At 40.1% G+C, this 16107-nt stretch overlaps 1 protein-coding gene and 1 long non-coding RNA gene across 5 annotated transcripts in view, besides 3 other annotated features; one reads left to right on the forward strand and one right to left on the reverse strand.

Annotated features, from left to right (window-relative positions):
• Positions 1-9872, reverse strand: part of PDE5A (phosphodiesterase 5A) — a 134402-nt gene extending 124530 nt beyond the window's left edge. For 2 of the 4 annotated variants that reach the window (NM_001083.4, XM_017008791.3), the window contains exon 1: positions 9588-9872. In NM_001083.4, the coding sequence (NP_001074.2) occupies positions 9588-9739 (152 nt within the window). In that variant the 5' untranslated portion in view covers positions 9740-9872. Of the gene's footprint in view, positions 1-8217; positions 8806-9062; positions 9109-9587 lie in introns of those variants that run through there. The other 2 variants (NM_033437.4, NM_033430.3) reach the window with 2 other exon arrangements.
• Positions 8306-8585: a silencer, noted in NCBI's record as "silent region_15656". NCBI's record gives its function as "represses an Ori minimal core promoter by ATAC-STARR-seq in GM12878 lymphoblastoid cells {active_cell/tissue: GM12878}" and the evidence as "EXISTENCE:reporter gene assay evidence [ECO:0000049][PMID:35858748]".
• Positions 8716-8765: an enhancer, noted in NCBI's record as "active region_21857". NCBI's record gives its function as "activates an Ori minimal core promoter by ATAC-STARR-seq in GM12878 lymphoblastoid cells {active_cell/tissue: GM12878}" and the evidence as "EXISTENCE:reporter gene assay evidence [ECO:0000049][PMID:35858748]".
• LOC107986192 (uncharacterized) lies at positions 8858-11823 on the forward strand. The gene has a single exon (NR_165235.1). It is a non-coding gene; the product is annotated as an uncharacterized LOC107986192 (long non-coding RNA).
• Positions 9806-10205: a silencer, noted in NCBI's record as "silent region_15657". NCBI's record gives its function as "represses an Ori minimal core promoter by ATAC-STARR-seq in GM12878 lymphoblastoid cells {active_cell/tissue: GM12878}" and the evidence as "EXISTENCE:reporter gene assay evidence [ECO:0000049][PMID:35858748]".
• Positions 11824-16107: the final 4284 nt, after the last annotated feature.

Here is a 16107-nt window from a genome sequence, read left to right on the forward strand (position 1 = left end):
CCATTGAGCAGTAACTTTTGGGGGAGATTTGCAGGGTGTATTTTTGTGTTTATAAGTCAGCTACTAAAATGCCATCCTCTTTTCTCTTTTCAATGCCTTTTTCATTAGTCATGTGAATTAATCACTAATACCAGCATTGCAAAGAGTATACTAAATTTTCTGACTGGAAAGTATGATTGATAACTTATATGGAAATCTGCTAAAATTAGGGAAAACACAAAATAACTCACATAAAAAATTATGTTGGCTACTTTTCCTGCTCTTGGATCCTTATTTTATACAGTTTCAGTTACGTTGTTTGCATAATTTGACCTGGATCCACTACTCAAATTTGGAAAAATACTTAAAAGAATGAAACTATTCAATCTGAGAAACTGATACTCGGCTCTCCTGGTGAGAAAAAAGAACTCTTACAGCTGAAAGAGATTTTTAAGCTCACTTATGAATCTCTCCGCCTTGAGTCTTCACCCTCTTTCACCTCCCGTCTTAAAGTTTGAGGTTCATTAACTTGAGCCAGTCACAAAGTTAGCTAATAGCAAAGCTGGAAACAAAATCTGGGGGTCTGGGCTCCCATTCCAGTTCCCTTTCCAGTACCTTACACAATCCCACAAAAACTTCTGTTCGAACCATTAATAAAATTCATCTAAAAAATGAAAATGACATTTAAAGTCTATGAAATCACTATGCTGTCAGAACTTAATTCCCATCTACCAGGATAAGGAAATGCCTATCAAAGTTTGTGATTACATTTAAGGCACTGATGATGCTCAAGGTAAAATGGTAAACTACTGAAAATTACCACTAAAAAGATAAGGAAACACGCATTATTTCCTTTAATTTTCTAATGAACACTATGAGGTAAATGACATTATCTCCATTTTACAGAGAGAGTAAATAATGCACCTAAAGTCTTCCTCTTAGAAAAGTAGGTCTGGGGTTGAAGCCTAAGGCTGTCCTATCTAGGGCCCTTCACCATAAACAGAAATCAATTTCAAAGGGTTCACAACAGTGGCTCCTAATCAAGTAGTGGTGCCAACCCTTGAGGGGCATTTGGAAATGTGTGGGAATAGATTTTCCATCACATGGATGGGGGTGGCCCTGGCATTTAGTGTCTGGAGTTCAGGGATGTTAAATGTCCTGCTATGCACTAGACAGCCTCTAACAACAAAAAAGTGTCACCACCAAATGCCAACATCTTCTTTTGAGAAGCAATGGTTTAGATGATTAAGAGATTAACAGACTATTATTAAACAAAACGGGAGATTTTGGACACCTCTAAGTGATATCCTCCAATAACCTCTACTCTGATGTTACAGTGAGTAGTTCGCTTGGGTCTGGCATGGTAAGGAAATGAAGAGTCTGCCCAAAGTTATTTAGTATTTCTAAGTTTGCTCCAGCTATGAAAACATCTGAGAACCTTAAAATGCAGAATTGCTTCATATGATTTTAACTTCAAATTTGACTGAGAATTGGAAGGGACAAAATATTTTGTAATTTTCTGTACATTCACAACACATGGTATAAAAGAAGTTGCTTAAAGGAAAACCTACCACTTCTGAAAGAAAACAATAACTCAAATCTATGCACTAAACATGTAAATCAGTTGGCTTTGCAGTTTAGATATGGGAGAGACTGGACTACAATGGCATTTATCTGAGGTTTGAGAGCCCACAGAATTCAAAACAAGTATGTTTTGAAGATCTTTACTTTGTTCTATAAAATGTTCTAATTTTATATTTTCACAATAATCATAATCAAAACAAAAGAAAGTGAAAGAAATTGCTTTCAGTTACTGGGAAGACCATCTTATTACCAACTACTGCCCTGCAATTTTAGTTCTAAGGTTTATATTTGTGTTAATGAGAAAATAAAAGACGTAAATTTAATATGCATATATGCCTTCATAGCAAGTAAAAAATGAAAGCTGGTATGCTGTGCTAGAGGAATAAGTTTCATGATTGTTCAGAGAGACCCAGTGGGAGAAGTGAAATCATTATAGGCCAAATTGTAGCAAAGGCCAGCTGACTTACCATACTGTTTTTCAGATAGTTAGAACCATATCTACTTTGCAAGAGTGTTTTAATGAATGCTGTAAATCTGCATTTGGCTGTGGTTTTATCATTTTGTTCGTAATTAACTGAGAATGTATTTTGGCATTACAGTTGCATAAATGTTGTAACTATGATTAAATTATATCTGCTTTTATTTATTCTACTTCTAAGAATTCCACACTTCACTAACATTAAAATAAAAGGAAGTCAACACTAGTTATGGTAGACATCTAGAACTTCTGGGTCTGCCCACATCACTTTCTTTTGGGAATGTACCCTCCCCAATGATATATCACCTTATGGGCTACGTGCCCCAACAAAACAGTCAAACAACCCTACTCTCCCGAATACAATGATTGGTTCAGAGTTGGGATGTGACCCAGGTGAGACCAGGGTAATCTGGGGAAGACTGATATGGATAAGAAGGCACCTCTCTAATATCAGAAGTTTAAGACCCACATACAGTTAACAAGTAGAAACTCTCAGCACATGAAGAAAGCATGCAAGAAAATAAAGCCAACACAGCACAGGGCCAAAAGATACATGGATAGATGAATACATGAACAAATGGATACATGGACAGATAAATAGATGCAAGGAAGGGCAGGTAAACAGAGTAGATAGATGAAAAGATAAATAGAGATAGGTAGATACATAGATAGATAGACAGACAGATAGATAGTTAGATAGACACAGAGACAGACAGAATTTTGGCAACATTATTTGATTAGCTAAATTCACAGCTAACCCAATCCCGCAAGCAATTAAAATTATGTGCATCAATTCTCTATGGGTTCAAGTTGAGTTTCTGTCACTTGCAACCAAAAGCTTTCTAATATATTGTAAATCAAAAAGAATGTCTTTCTTTAATAGGAGTACATTACTTAAGTTTGAAAAATGAGATTGGCCGGGCGCGGTGGCTCACGCCTGTAATCCCAGCACTTTGGGAGGCCGAGGCGGGGGGATCACCAAGTCAGGAGATCAAGACCATCCTGGCCAACAAGGTGAAACTCCATCTCCAATAAAAAAAAATACAAAACATTAGCCAGGCATGGTGGTGGGCGCCTGTAGTCCCAGCTACTCGGGAGGCTGAGGCAAGAGAATGGCCTGAACCCGGGAAGCGGAGCTTGTGGTGAGCCGAGATCACGCCACTGCACTCCAGCCTGGGCGACAGAGCGAGACTCCATCTCAAAAAAAAAAAAAAGAAAAGAAAAATGAGATTATATGATCCCTACTAACTCTAAATTTCAGTGATCCTGTGTGTGTGTTTTAATTATTTCATCAGCTCAGAATGTCAGGGTCTTCTCTCTTTGTATATTTTCAGTATAGGTATTCAACTAAAAGTAGAGAAGATAATTCTTATTTTTTATAATTATCACTATGAACATGATATCAAATGGTGATCCTTTCTCTCCCGATTTTAGGTAAAATACAATTATTCAGAGAAGAAAATTTGCAAAAAGTTAATCTTACTTTATAATTCAGAATCAAGGGAAAAGTCTCCCCTCTCCTGAAGATTAAAAAATCTAACAATGGTACATAAGACATTTAAAAGCATTTTCATTGCAAACTAAAAACCAGAGAAAATATATCTTTAAAAGCTTTAAAGGCCGGGTGCGGTGGCTCACGCCTGTAATCCCAGCACTTTGAGAGGCCGAGGTGGGTGGACCACGAGGTCAGGAGATCGAGACCATCCTGGCTAACATGGTGAAACCCCGTCTCTACTAAAAATATAAAAAATTAGCTGGGTGTGGTGGTGGGCACCTGTGGTCCCAGCTACTCGGGAGTCTGAGGCAGGAGAATGGCGTAAACTCGGCTTGCAATGAGCCGAGATTGCGCCACTGCACTCCAGCCTGGGTAACAGAGCAATACTCCGTCTCGAAAAAAAAAAAAAGAAAGAAAGAAAAAAAAAGCTTTAAAATATTTTTAGAATTTTTATCAAAATGATTCTTATAAACTTAACACTCAGTTTGCTTTACCTACCTTAAACATTTGGTTGGCAACAAATATAAATTCCTACCACTCAGAGAAAATGAATTAAGCACTTACATTGCAAAAAAAAAAAAAAGTAATTTAAAATGAGAATATCAGTCAGTAAATAAGATTACAGAGCTAAATATCAAATGAATGACTCATATGGAAAGACTTTCTTCAATTTTTATTCCTAGGTATGTGGCTCACAGGCACTTTTCCCTGAGAACCTGGTATAACAGATATTTCCAAGCCACATTCACCAGCTGTAATAGTGGCCAACTGAATCTACATCTATGCAGCTAAACTAATTTCATAGGAAGTCCTGCAAAGTCAGTAACTAGTCTGCATCCTAAATTCACAAATTAGTCATTTTTCAACCCTTCACTATCAATCAACTCATTGATTTATTTAATTGTCCTACAGTCCTTACTAAAGGTTTTTTTATCCTAGGAAGAGGTTTTTATCCCACAATTGGCTGTTGGAACAAAGAACAAATATAGCTTGACACAGCAATTATAGGTTTAACTTCTAAGTTAATTTGTATTTTCAAATCTAGAGGAAGGGGTGCCTCAAAGTAGGACACACTCCCTATAATCAGATAAGGGCGAAGCTACAAGCTTTACCTATACAACCTTAACAGAATTCCAAATATTTCAAAAGAAATAATACTTCAGACCAGAGTCAAATCATTTATTTAAGCAGAATAATTTAAAAAGGAAATTTGGTTGCATAGCATAATCAAAATACTAAAAATTTCCTCATCTTGAGGTGTTGAGGACATAAACGTGTGAAAATATTGACAATTTCTACAGATCATCAGATGACAGACTGAAAAAAAGCTACTGAATGATACCACAAGCCTATTTAAGTTTGTGTTATACTAAGCAAATCGATTTATTTGAAGATATCCATCTACACTAATTGCCATTGCATTAATTCTACCACATTTTTAGGAATCATGTAGTTTAGGCTCTAACATGGGTCTGAATTTGAAACTTTGAAAACACTAGAGATAGAAGAGCAATGAGAAACATTATTTCAGGGGCTCCTATGGATTTCTCCAGGCAGGAAGAATGCAATCCAGAAGAGTGCTTCAAGGACACTAAAAGCAGCTTAGAGCTGGTTATATGGACCCTGGTTATGAACAACATAAGAAAAAAAGGCCATTATTGCACCAGAATTACCATTATAAAAATACTATAAACAATATCAAAGTTAGACTGGGTCAATGCTCAGAGGGTTTTATTATCATCAACACTAACAACTGCCTCACAAAATATGCTTAACAATTCATTTGTCTGAAAATTGTGGAAAGTTTATATTCCTATATAATTATAGAAACAATAATTTAAAAAAATACATAGCAATATTTATATACATAATCTGATTGTATTGTAAATACCGTGCAATAAAAATGCTACAGCTTTTAGAAGTGAGAGAAGAATTACAAGGAAAAAAAATGAAGGACGGAATTCCAAACACAGGACCAGGAACCTCAATTAATTCAGCACAGCTTTGCAGTATCAAATAAAGTCTATCATAGAAAGCTATATGGGAGTGTAAAACGTCTGTTTCTGGACTTTGATCCAAGCTGTCATAAAAACTTGCCCTCACTTAATATCTCTTATTTCCAGTATATGCCAAATATTCTCGAGCTTTTGCCTGTACAAAACAAAGCAATAAAGTCAATCATGTCATCCTTAACAATATTAAATGACCTAAAACATCACCCACAATCACAGAGCTGATTAGTAATTAATGAAAGGTAACTTTATTCTAATATGCTGTCAAGAATAACAACAGCTGTTAAGCAGCATTAGCACCAGGAAAGCTTCAGTTGTAAAAGGCATACGCATTAAAGCCCTCAATTAACACAGTAGCTGAGGCCTTCAGGACTGCAAATTGTCTACAATAGTGACCTGGGAGTTTTCCAGATGTGATTTATTGGCCTCAAATTAATTTTTATGCCAACCGACTATGTTCTGAATCATTCAATTGACACCTTCAAATGGACATAAACAGGTTGTGATAACTAAAAAGCTCCAAGTTATAGCTTTTTTTTTTTTTTTTTGAGATGGAGTCTCACTCTGTTGCCCAGGCTGGAGTATAGTGGAGCAATCTTGGCTCACTGCAACCTCTGCCTCCCGGGTTCAAGCGATTCTCCTTAGTAGCTGGGATTACAGGCGCGCGCCATACCTGGCTAATTTTTGTATTTTTAGTAGAGACGGGGTTTCACCATGTTGGTCAGTCAGGCTGGTCTTGAACTCCTGACGTCGTGATCTGCCCGCCTCGGCCTCCCAAAGTGCTGGGATTACAGGCATGAGCCACCGTGCCAGGCCCAACCTATAGCTTTTAATAAGATGCGTAGCTCTCTACTTGAAGACAGTGATAGTAAACAATGTAATATAATGGCATAAATGCTTTCAAGGTCAACCCAAATTCACAGGTGTTTGAGAATTTAGGAATGCCAGAACCTTGATGTTCAATAACTACCATTGAGTGTAGATCATTTAGTCTGAGAAAAGGATGGAAAATCATGCATGAATGTCGAATGACAACAATAATGCAGAAATTGTTTTTATCAGCAAGCCTGATTACTGGTGCAGATGGACGATCTGGGTGAATATAAATATATTTTAAATCTTAAAACATGCCGCATGCATCTACAGAACTATTTTGTTTCATGGGTTTCCTGAATCACATACAATATTCATTTTACACTTACAAAGTGTAAAAAGAGGGGAAAAGCAAAGTAATGTGAGCTCCTACTTTTAAAAAAAAAAATCCTTAGCTGTAAAGTTAAAACGTATGCAATAAGTTTTTACCACAAAATGTGAACCACACTGGGGTTAGTGGTTTGCATTTTTATAATCAACAAATGTCCATCCTCTTATTCACATTTTAAGTCTCCTGTTAATGCCACCAAATATAAAACCAAATTGGAATATTGTTTCATGAAAGACCTCTGGCTACACACAAATTCTTAGGTTATATTCTTTACTCTGACAACTCTCAGCACTTTATTATAACTCTTAAAATTGAGGACCTGCACTATTAAATATTTTACACTTTCATTTTCCAACTTACACTCAACATAACCTCTTAAGAATATGTATACACACATACATATATATATCACAGAAAGTGTTCAGCCTGTTGCCAACATCAACTGTAATTTAAAAACTCTAACCGAAAATTTTTTAAAAGTTTTTTTAGAGCCTCAGATGATCTAAATTTTACAGTGAGCATGGTAAATTTGAGAAATAGGATTTTGATCCTATGCTGCTTGGGAGAAAAAGTAATGGGAAAAGAAATGTAACTCAGCTCTTTCCATTTATTTTCCATTAAAATGTTGCTACACTTTCAAAGTGTTGGTAGGTTCTGAAAATGCAGTGTTCCTATCTATGACTAGTCAAAAACGACCAACAAGCCATCCCTAGTTTACATCTTTAAAAGAAAAATAGGGAACGAAGAAAGGACATTTATGCTGATTTATTAAACAATAACTTTTTTTCTTTAAACTGTTTATAATCTGCCTAAAGAACAGGTCCAATACATACTTTTAAAAATCGGCCTGGTTCTCTGGCCCCCTGATCATTCTATGCGCTGTAATTCAAGGAGAGCAGAAGGCTGGGAATGCGCAGAGTGAAAGGAAAGTGGGTGCAGATGGCCTCAGAGGGGCAGGTGACCCCTGAAAACTGTTAGTCGACAGCAACCGATCATTCTAGACCTCCATGGCCTTAGTGTCTCACGCTAAACTCGCAAAAAAGTGCCCTTTCAGGGCTATCCTCTGGGCGCTCAAGATTTAGGATTTTGAAGGAAGAAGGTGAAAGCGGGGGAAGACGATTTTAAAAGAAGGGCTGGGTTATTAAATTGAAAAGATTAATCCCGGAGCCTTCCCCTCTGTCAAAAAACCCTGAAAGTGACTAAATTGACACCAACTCTGGATGTTCCTTAGGAAAAAAACAAAACAAAACAAAACAAAACAAGATTAAAAAGGGCCCAATTTAAGACCCTTATTAATACATCTGCAAGAGAGCAAAGAATAACAACAACAACAAAAGTTATACAGTCAATTTTCAATGATACATCGTCCCACTGGTGCCACCGGGGCGCCACCACCCAGCACCCGAGACCCGCCGCGCCCCCGGAAAAAGTGGGAAGGGACGTAGGGGGATGCTGAAGGAAGTACCTTGTTTTGTCTCCAAAGGGCAACATAGCAAACGTGGGAAGTTCGTTTTCGAACTCCGCCGATCCTGGACTCCAGGAGGCTCCGTAGGGGCAACAACGCGCGCAGGTGAGGTGAGGTGAGGTCGGCGACTCAGAACCAGCTCCCTCACGGCCCCGGCCTCCGCGCCGCCGCCCGTCGCCTCCCGCTCGCCCCGCGCTGCGCCGCCCCCTGGCGGGGAGCGACCGGCAGAGCCGCGGCCGCGCGCCGGCGAGTGGGACCCGGGCGTCGAACCCGGGCGGGCTCCTCGACCATCACTGCCGGGCGTGTGTCACCCTCCCGGCCAAGACGGCCAGCACCCGCTGCCCGACGGCCGCTGCCCAGAGCAGGCGGCAGCGGGGCACGGACTCTTTCTGCAAAGGGGCGCGTCCTGGAGTCCACGCACCCCGACTATGCATCAATTCCTCAGGCTTCGGGGCACCCGCCCGCCAAGCACTCTCTGCTCCACTCTTCTTGTCCCTCTGCTCCCAGTCTCAATTCCTCCCCAACTCTCCCGCGAGCGTTTCCCACGAGCGCCCCGACTGCCCGCTGCGCAGCCGCCTCCAAAAGGACAGGCTCCCTCCTCCCCGCCCTCCGCAAGGGCCGCCCCGGCGCTTGGCTCTGGACCAGAAAGAGCTGGCCTCTGGGGTCTGCGCTGCCCCTTGGGGTCCGCTCCAGGCGGCGCCTCCCCTGCGCCCTTTGTGTGCACGCCGCAAACCCCTCTGCAGAGCTCTACTTTTGGCGGCACAGCCTTCGGCGGAAAAGCGAGTGAAAGGAGGCGCGCGGGACAAGCAGGAGACTGGAAGGGGGGAAAAGGCAACCGCACTCACTTTGGCAAGGTTCCGTCATGTTGCCTTTGGGCTGTCCCGTGGACTCGTCCCTCACCCCAGCTTCCCCGCCCAGCCAGGGCCAGGGCGAGGGGGGACGGGGGAGGAGCGGAGCCATCAAGACCGACTTGGAAATGGTGCTTCCGGAGCTGCAGGGAAGGGGCTCAGAAACTGTTTGGGTTTTGCTGATTGGATTTTGGGGAACCAGAGGGCTAGAGAGGGGCTAGGGGAAGGCCCGTGAGCACGGATGTATGAAAATAATCATGTTCCCGGGGAATACCAAGAGGGTCGGGGGTGAGGGTGGGAGGTCGGCAAGTACATTTTTGTATTTGAACTTTGTGAGCAAGTTGTATCAAATCCGACACTTGAGTTTTTCGACTGTGCTCGCTTAGAGTTGAGGTTTCTACCTCGTAACAGGACCGAGGACCTACTTCAAAAGCAAAGGGCCTGGGAACAGGGGTGAACGAAGGGCACAATTCAACAGGGGAGAGAAATCAGCCCCGGGTCTTCCGTGGGTCCTCTTCTTACCTGGTGGCTTTTCTAACAAAGTATGAGAAGGTAAAGTCCCAGTGATCGTCCAGCCATGCTTCGACCGAGTCCTGATCCCTCTGCTGCTGCTTCTGCTGCTGGGGCTGCTGCTGCTGTCGCTGCTGCCCGAAGCTGGGGCCGGCCCGCTCCATGGTTGGCACCGCGCGCCTCGGAGGCTCTCTGGTACTGCTTTTCCACCCCAGCTGGGGTCCGTCCCTCAGAAGAACAGGACTCGGCCTCGAGACCCTCCCCCTTCGTCCTGCTCCAGTCGGGCCGGCTTTCGACAAAGCGGCCGGAGCGCCAGGCCAGCCTCCTGCCCCGCCCCGCCCCGCGCGGTTCTACGGGCGCCCAGGTGTGGTGGGCGGGGCCAGGCGCAGCTGCTGCGCCCCCCCCACCCGGGGTCCGGCAGTGTTCCGCTCTCGCAGGCTCTTCAGTCCCCTGGTTCCCAGGAGGCGGCGGCGGCGGCGGCAGCGGCAGCGCCCGGCGAGCTCTCCGGAAGCCAAGTGGCGGCGGCTGGAAGGAGGCCGCGCGGCCGCTGGGGTGCGCTGTGTGCCAAGCCGACTTCTGGGGAGCGCGCTAGGTGACTGGGTGTGTTCTCAGAGTGCCCCAGGGAGGGAAGGTCGCGATGTGGGAAGTTTTGCCCGAAAGTAAGAGATGATGAGACCCTGGGCCCTTTTCCTGGGGCCTGGGAGTGCAATGACCTTCCCGCCTAGCTTTTCCCTAGCCCTACGCTTGGGTCTGGGAGGAGCGGGACCGACCTCCTTCAGAGCCCAGCCCGCTCAGTGACTTAAAGCGGTCCAGCCACGGACCACTGCGGGTGGAGAGAGCTGGGGCGTGTGCTAGCAAGAGAGATTTGCAGGTGTAGGTGGGTAACTTGCAACAAAGCCATACCCGTGCTTAATGTTAATGATAACAGCAATAATTATAACTTAAGTGCCTTTAACCATTGCCTCAAACTTCCCTTATGCATAACTGGAAAAAGATTTACTTGGAAAAGAAAAAGCAAACAAATAATTTCCAATGCTTTGTGCATGAAGTTAGAAAACAAGGGCACCTCTGTACAATTAGGTTAATCCGAGAGCACTGGCGCAACCCAGGTGCAGTCGAGGGCAACCAGTTATCCCAATTTTAAATTAATGCATCATTTTAATTAAATTGGAATTAACACTCCCTCAAAAGTATCCATTAAAAATGGCTCAGCCTTTTTGTCCAATCCCTATCTTGCTTCTTTAAAAAAGGAATTGGTGTCATCCTTTGCTTTGTCTGCATCCCCATCTTCCTGTCATGCATTGGCAGTTTTAATATGGCATTTTGCAATGACCTATATTTTTTGGTAGAATTAAATCTGGAATTATGGGTTGCACAATGTGTGAATGACACCATTAGCAGTGATATAAAAAAAAATGAGTTAGCTGATATACTTCTGACAACTTCCTTCTAAATACTCTTGGCAAGAATTTAAGGCATTATTCACTACATAGAAACACATCATTAAATTGATAATCTGAGAACTTTTAAAAGTATCTTCTAGTCCCCCAATGCAATGGTTTATCTTTCCTTCATTGAGTAATTGACCTTTTGCGACTTCAGTTTTTCTGAAACTTTACTGCTGTATGCAGGTAGCCACAACCAAAGAAAAGCAATCAAAGCAGTAGAGTATGAACTAATGGGTGATAAATTATATTGGATTTAGAAATGAGAATTCTCTCCTAATGTGTTACTATGATAGTGATTATAGTGCTCATGGAATACAGTCATGCGTCACCGAACAACAGGATACATTCTGAGAAATGTATCCTTAGGCAATTTCATCCTTCTCTGAACATCACAGTGTACTAACACAAAATAGATGGCTCAGCCTACTACACACTTAGGCTATTGCTCCTAGACCACAAATCTATACAGCATATTACTGTACTGAATACTGTAGGCAATTGTAATGCAATGATATTTGTGTGTCTAAACATATCTAAACATAGAAAAGGTACAGTAAAAATATAGTATTATCTTATGGGACTCATATATGTGGTCTGTCGTTGACTGAAAAGTGGCACATTACTGTGGAAAGTTTCTCCTCAGTACAGTTTTTTCTTGTGGAAATCCATGCATTCCTCCTAACAGGAGATCAATCGTAATTTAAAACTCTGCTTATCTACTAAAGATGCAGTGAATTTGGGGCTTGAATTATTTGCTTTTGTTGGATACTTGATTAAATAAACACGTATAATCATTTCAATGTTTGTATTCCCTCCAAAATTCATGTTGAAACTTAATCCCTAATTCAACAGTATTAAGAGGAGGTGCCTTTAAGTGGTGATTAGACCATTAGGGCTCTGCCTTTGTGAATGCATTAGTGCCTTTTTAAAAAAAGGCCCAAAGGAGACAGTTGGCCCCTTCTATTCTTTCCACTATGTGAAGACACAGCACTGACCCTTGCTGAGGATGCAGCAACAAGGTGCCATTTTGTAAGCAAAGAGCAGCCCTCACCAGTTGCCAAATCTGCTGGCACTTTGATTTTGGAGTTTCCAGCCTCCAGAACTGAGAGAAATTAATTTCTATTGTTTATAAATATCCCAGTCTGTGATATTTTATTACAGCAACACAAATGGACTAAGACAGTGGGTAATATCAAAATGTTCATTTTTCTCTCCTAACCTGAAAGGGTTAAATTATCAGAAACCAGGAAGGTTTCTGAAAAATTGCTTCAAGAAAAACAATCTATAGGCTGGGCACAGTGGCTCATTCCTGTAATCTCAGAACTTTGGGAGGGAGAGGTAGAAGGATACTTGAGCTCAGGAGTTTGAACCAGCCTGGGCCACATGGCATGACCCCATCTCTACACAAAATTTTTAAAAATTAGCCAGGCATGGGGGAACACACCTGTAATCCTAGTTATTCGAGAGGCTGAGGCAAGAGGATTGAGCCCAGGAGGTCAAGGCTGCAGTGAGCCATGATCGTGCCATTGCACTTCAGCCTCAGTGACAGTGTAAGACCCCCGGCTCTATAACAAAAAAGAAAAAAAAAGAAAAACAGTACATAGATTCTCTCAATAGTGAATCTCAAGTCTGTGTGGTATATATGATAGTTTGGGAGTTACTGTGAAGGCCTATTACCTGAGAAACATATCACAAGGGATTGGGGAACAGAAGTGTCTCAAACAGTTCTAGTCTCTGGGAGATTCAGCCAAAATGTGTAACTATACCTCCTGTAAATTTAAAGTAGTTAAAGGTAAGCATATTTTGAACTGACATTACCTGGGCCTCTTGTTTTTCAACTCCATTTTATTCTTTATCCCAATTTGCCCAATTATTTTGTTTTAACTTGGCATGAATTGTTCTAAGCACCTCAAATCTTGTTATGGAATTAGTTGAAGAATAAGTAAATCATAAACACTCCCAGGATATAACTTGAAAAATGCTGTTAATGCTATTTATAACAAACAAATGAGCAATGATGTATGTATGTGTATATGTATGATATATATATGTGTGTATATGTATATATATATTTAATTTTTGTAAATGACCCAGTCTGTGGTATTTTGTTATTGCAACACAAGTGGACTAAGATATATATATATATATATATAAAATCAATGATATATATGTGTATATACATACATATATGTCATTGCTCATTTGTTGCTCATGAGCAACAGCTTAACTAAAGACCTTCAATGTATTCCCACTGTGCTAAAATAAAATTCAAACTCTGTAACGTGGCTTATGGGGTTCTACATTATTTGGTTGTTACCTACCTGTACTGCTAAAGATTTTGGTCATACAAATAGAAAAAACAAATGCAACAAAGCAAAAACACAAAAAAGAAATATAAGGCATAAAAATGAAAAAGTAAACATTCTCCATTTGCAGACATGAGTATCTATGAGGAATACCCAAAGGAATGCACAAAGCAACTACAAGAATTAAGAGGTGATTCAGCAAGCTTGCAGCATAAATGGTCAGTATACAAAAATCAATTGTATCTCTGTATACTAGTCTTATGGGCTGATTTGTTTCCCCAGATTCATATGTTGAAGCCCTAACCCCTAGTACCACAGAATGTGATTGTATTTGGAGATAGGGCCTTTAAAGAGGCAATCAAGGTTAGATGAGGTCATGAGAGTGGTCCCTAATCCAATCTGACTGGTGCCACTATAAGAAGAGGGAATTTGCACACACAAAAAAGTGACACCGGTGATACTCTCCCACAGAGGGATAACCGTGTGAAGAGGCAGCAAGAGAATGGCCATTTGCAAACCGAGGAGAGACACCTCCAAGGAATCCAACCTGCTGGCACCTTGATCTTGGACTTCTAGTCCCCAGCACAGTGGCAAGATCAATTTCTGTTATTTAAGCCACCCAGCGTGTGGTACTTTGTTACGGCAACACTAACAAACTAATACAACTAACAGTGAACAATTTGAAAACAATATTATTTATAATCGTGTAAAAAACATTAAATACTTAGGGATAAATTTGGCAAAATATACATAAGAAATATACACTAAAAGTTATAAAACATTACTGGGAGAAATGCAAAAAGACCTAAATAAATGGACAGATACATTCATTGATCGGCAGACTCAATATTATTATGATGTTTATTCTTTCCAAACCGAGCAATATGATCCCAATCGTATTTCAGCAGACATTTTCATGGAAAGCGAAAATCAGATAACAAATTTTCTATGGAAATGCAAGAGATACAGAATGGCAAAACAATATTGAAAAAGAATAAAACTAGAGAACTTATGCTACCTAGCTTTAAGATTTACTATAAAGCTATAATAATCAAGGCAGTATGGCATTTGCATATGGTTAGTCAAACAGAACCATAGAATAGAATAAAGAGTTTAGAAATATCATTTATACAACTAGTTGATTTTCAACAAAGGTACCAGTTATTCTTTAAATAAAAGTAAAGTTTTTTTCAATAAATAATGCTTTAACAACTGGATCTTTATATGGAAAAATAGTATCCTCAACCAATATTTTATATTATATATAAACGTTAATTAGGAATGAAACAGATCTAAAAACTAAATGTGATTTCTAGGAGGCGACATAGAAGAATATCTTTACAACTTGGGAGCAGCAGGGATTTCTTAGGAGGACACAGAAATCAATTAACTGTACGGAAACAACAACAACATCTAGATTTTATTAAAATCTTTTACTCTTTGAAAGACACTATAAGGAAAATAAAAATCCACAAACTAGAAGAAAATGTTTGCAAAACATTTATCTAACAGGGACTTGTATCCAGAATACATAGAGAACTCCACAGCTTAATAATAAAAAGATAAATGTCTCAATAGGGGAAAAACTAGCAAAGGACTTAAGCAGACACTTAATAAAGTAAGACATGTGAAAGTTCACTAAGCACATGTAAAAATACTCAACACCTAAGTCTTCAGGGAAATGCAAGTTAAACCACCGTGAGATCTGCCTCCACCCTCTAGAATGGTCAAAATTAAAAAGACTGCTAACGCCACATGATGTTTGGTGTTAGATATGTAGCAGTCAGAACTCTCACACATTGCTGGTAGGAAGTTAAAATGGTATAACCACTTTTGAAAAAGGTTTTGCCTTTTTCTTATAAAGTTAAGAATAAGCCCTTTCCTCTATTAATTTCATTTATAGATATTTACCCAAAATATATTTATCCAAAAACTTATATCTGAAGATAAATTATATAAAAATGTTCAAAGTGGCTTTACCTTTAATAACCAAAAGTTCCAAATCTCCAATTATTTCATGAGGAGAATGGATAAATTTTAATATAATGATTAAATAGAATATAACTCAGCAATAGAAAGGAATGAAATATTGATACATTTAAGAATGTGGATGACTATTATAAACATTATACTATATACACAAAATAATATATATGATTGATTCCATTTGCATGAAGCTCTAGGACAGATAAAGCTAATCTACAATGAAAATAATTCAAAAAATGGTTTGCTCTGGCAGAGAAGTTGACTGCGAAGAGGCATGAGGGAACATTATTGGGTGATAGTAATGTTCTGTGTCTTGAAAACTGGTGTGGGTTGAGTATGTGCTTTTTTTCGAAAGTTATCAAATTGTGCATAAATGAAATCACTATGTAATTTTTACCCCAAAAATCTATTAAAAATATTGAAACTAGTTAGTAGGGTTGCTTTTTGTAGGGTATGAGTTAAAAGTTCTGAAACTTCTTTATATTCTAGGCTTGAGAAAAGTGAGCAAATATAGTGAGATCCAGGTTTCTGGTTGTTAGAGAAGAGAATAACATATATGGAAAGGGGAAAGACCAAAAGTTACATTGTGGTGTTGAAATGAAATTGGAGGTTAAAATTTTTAATTTAGTTTAAATTTTAATACATGCATCATGTGGGGAAAATCCACTTGACAAGGAAATATAGGCAGTTTGTAAGAGCTGTGGACGGCCTCCAGCTGATAGCCTACGATGAGTTCCAGCGAGGAAGAAAATGAAGGTCCTCAGTCTTGTGAACCACAAGGAATTGAATTCG

This window comes from Homo sapiens, chromosome 4 (assembly GCF_000001405.40).
Source record: "Homo sapiens chromosome 4, GRCh38.p14 Primary Assembly".
NCBI lineage: Eukaryota > Metazoa > Chordata > Mammalia > Primates > Hominidae > Homo > Homo sapiens.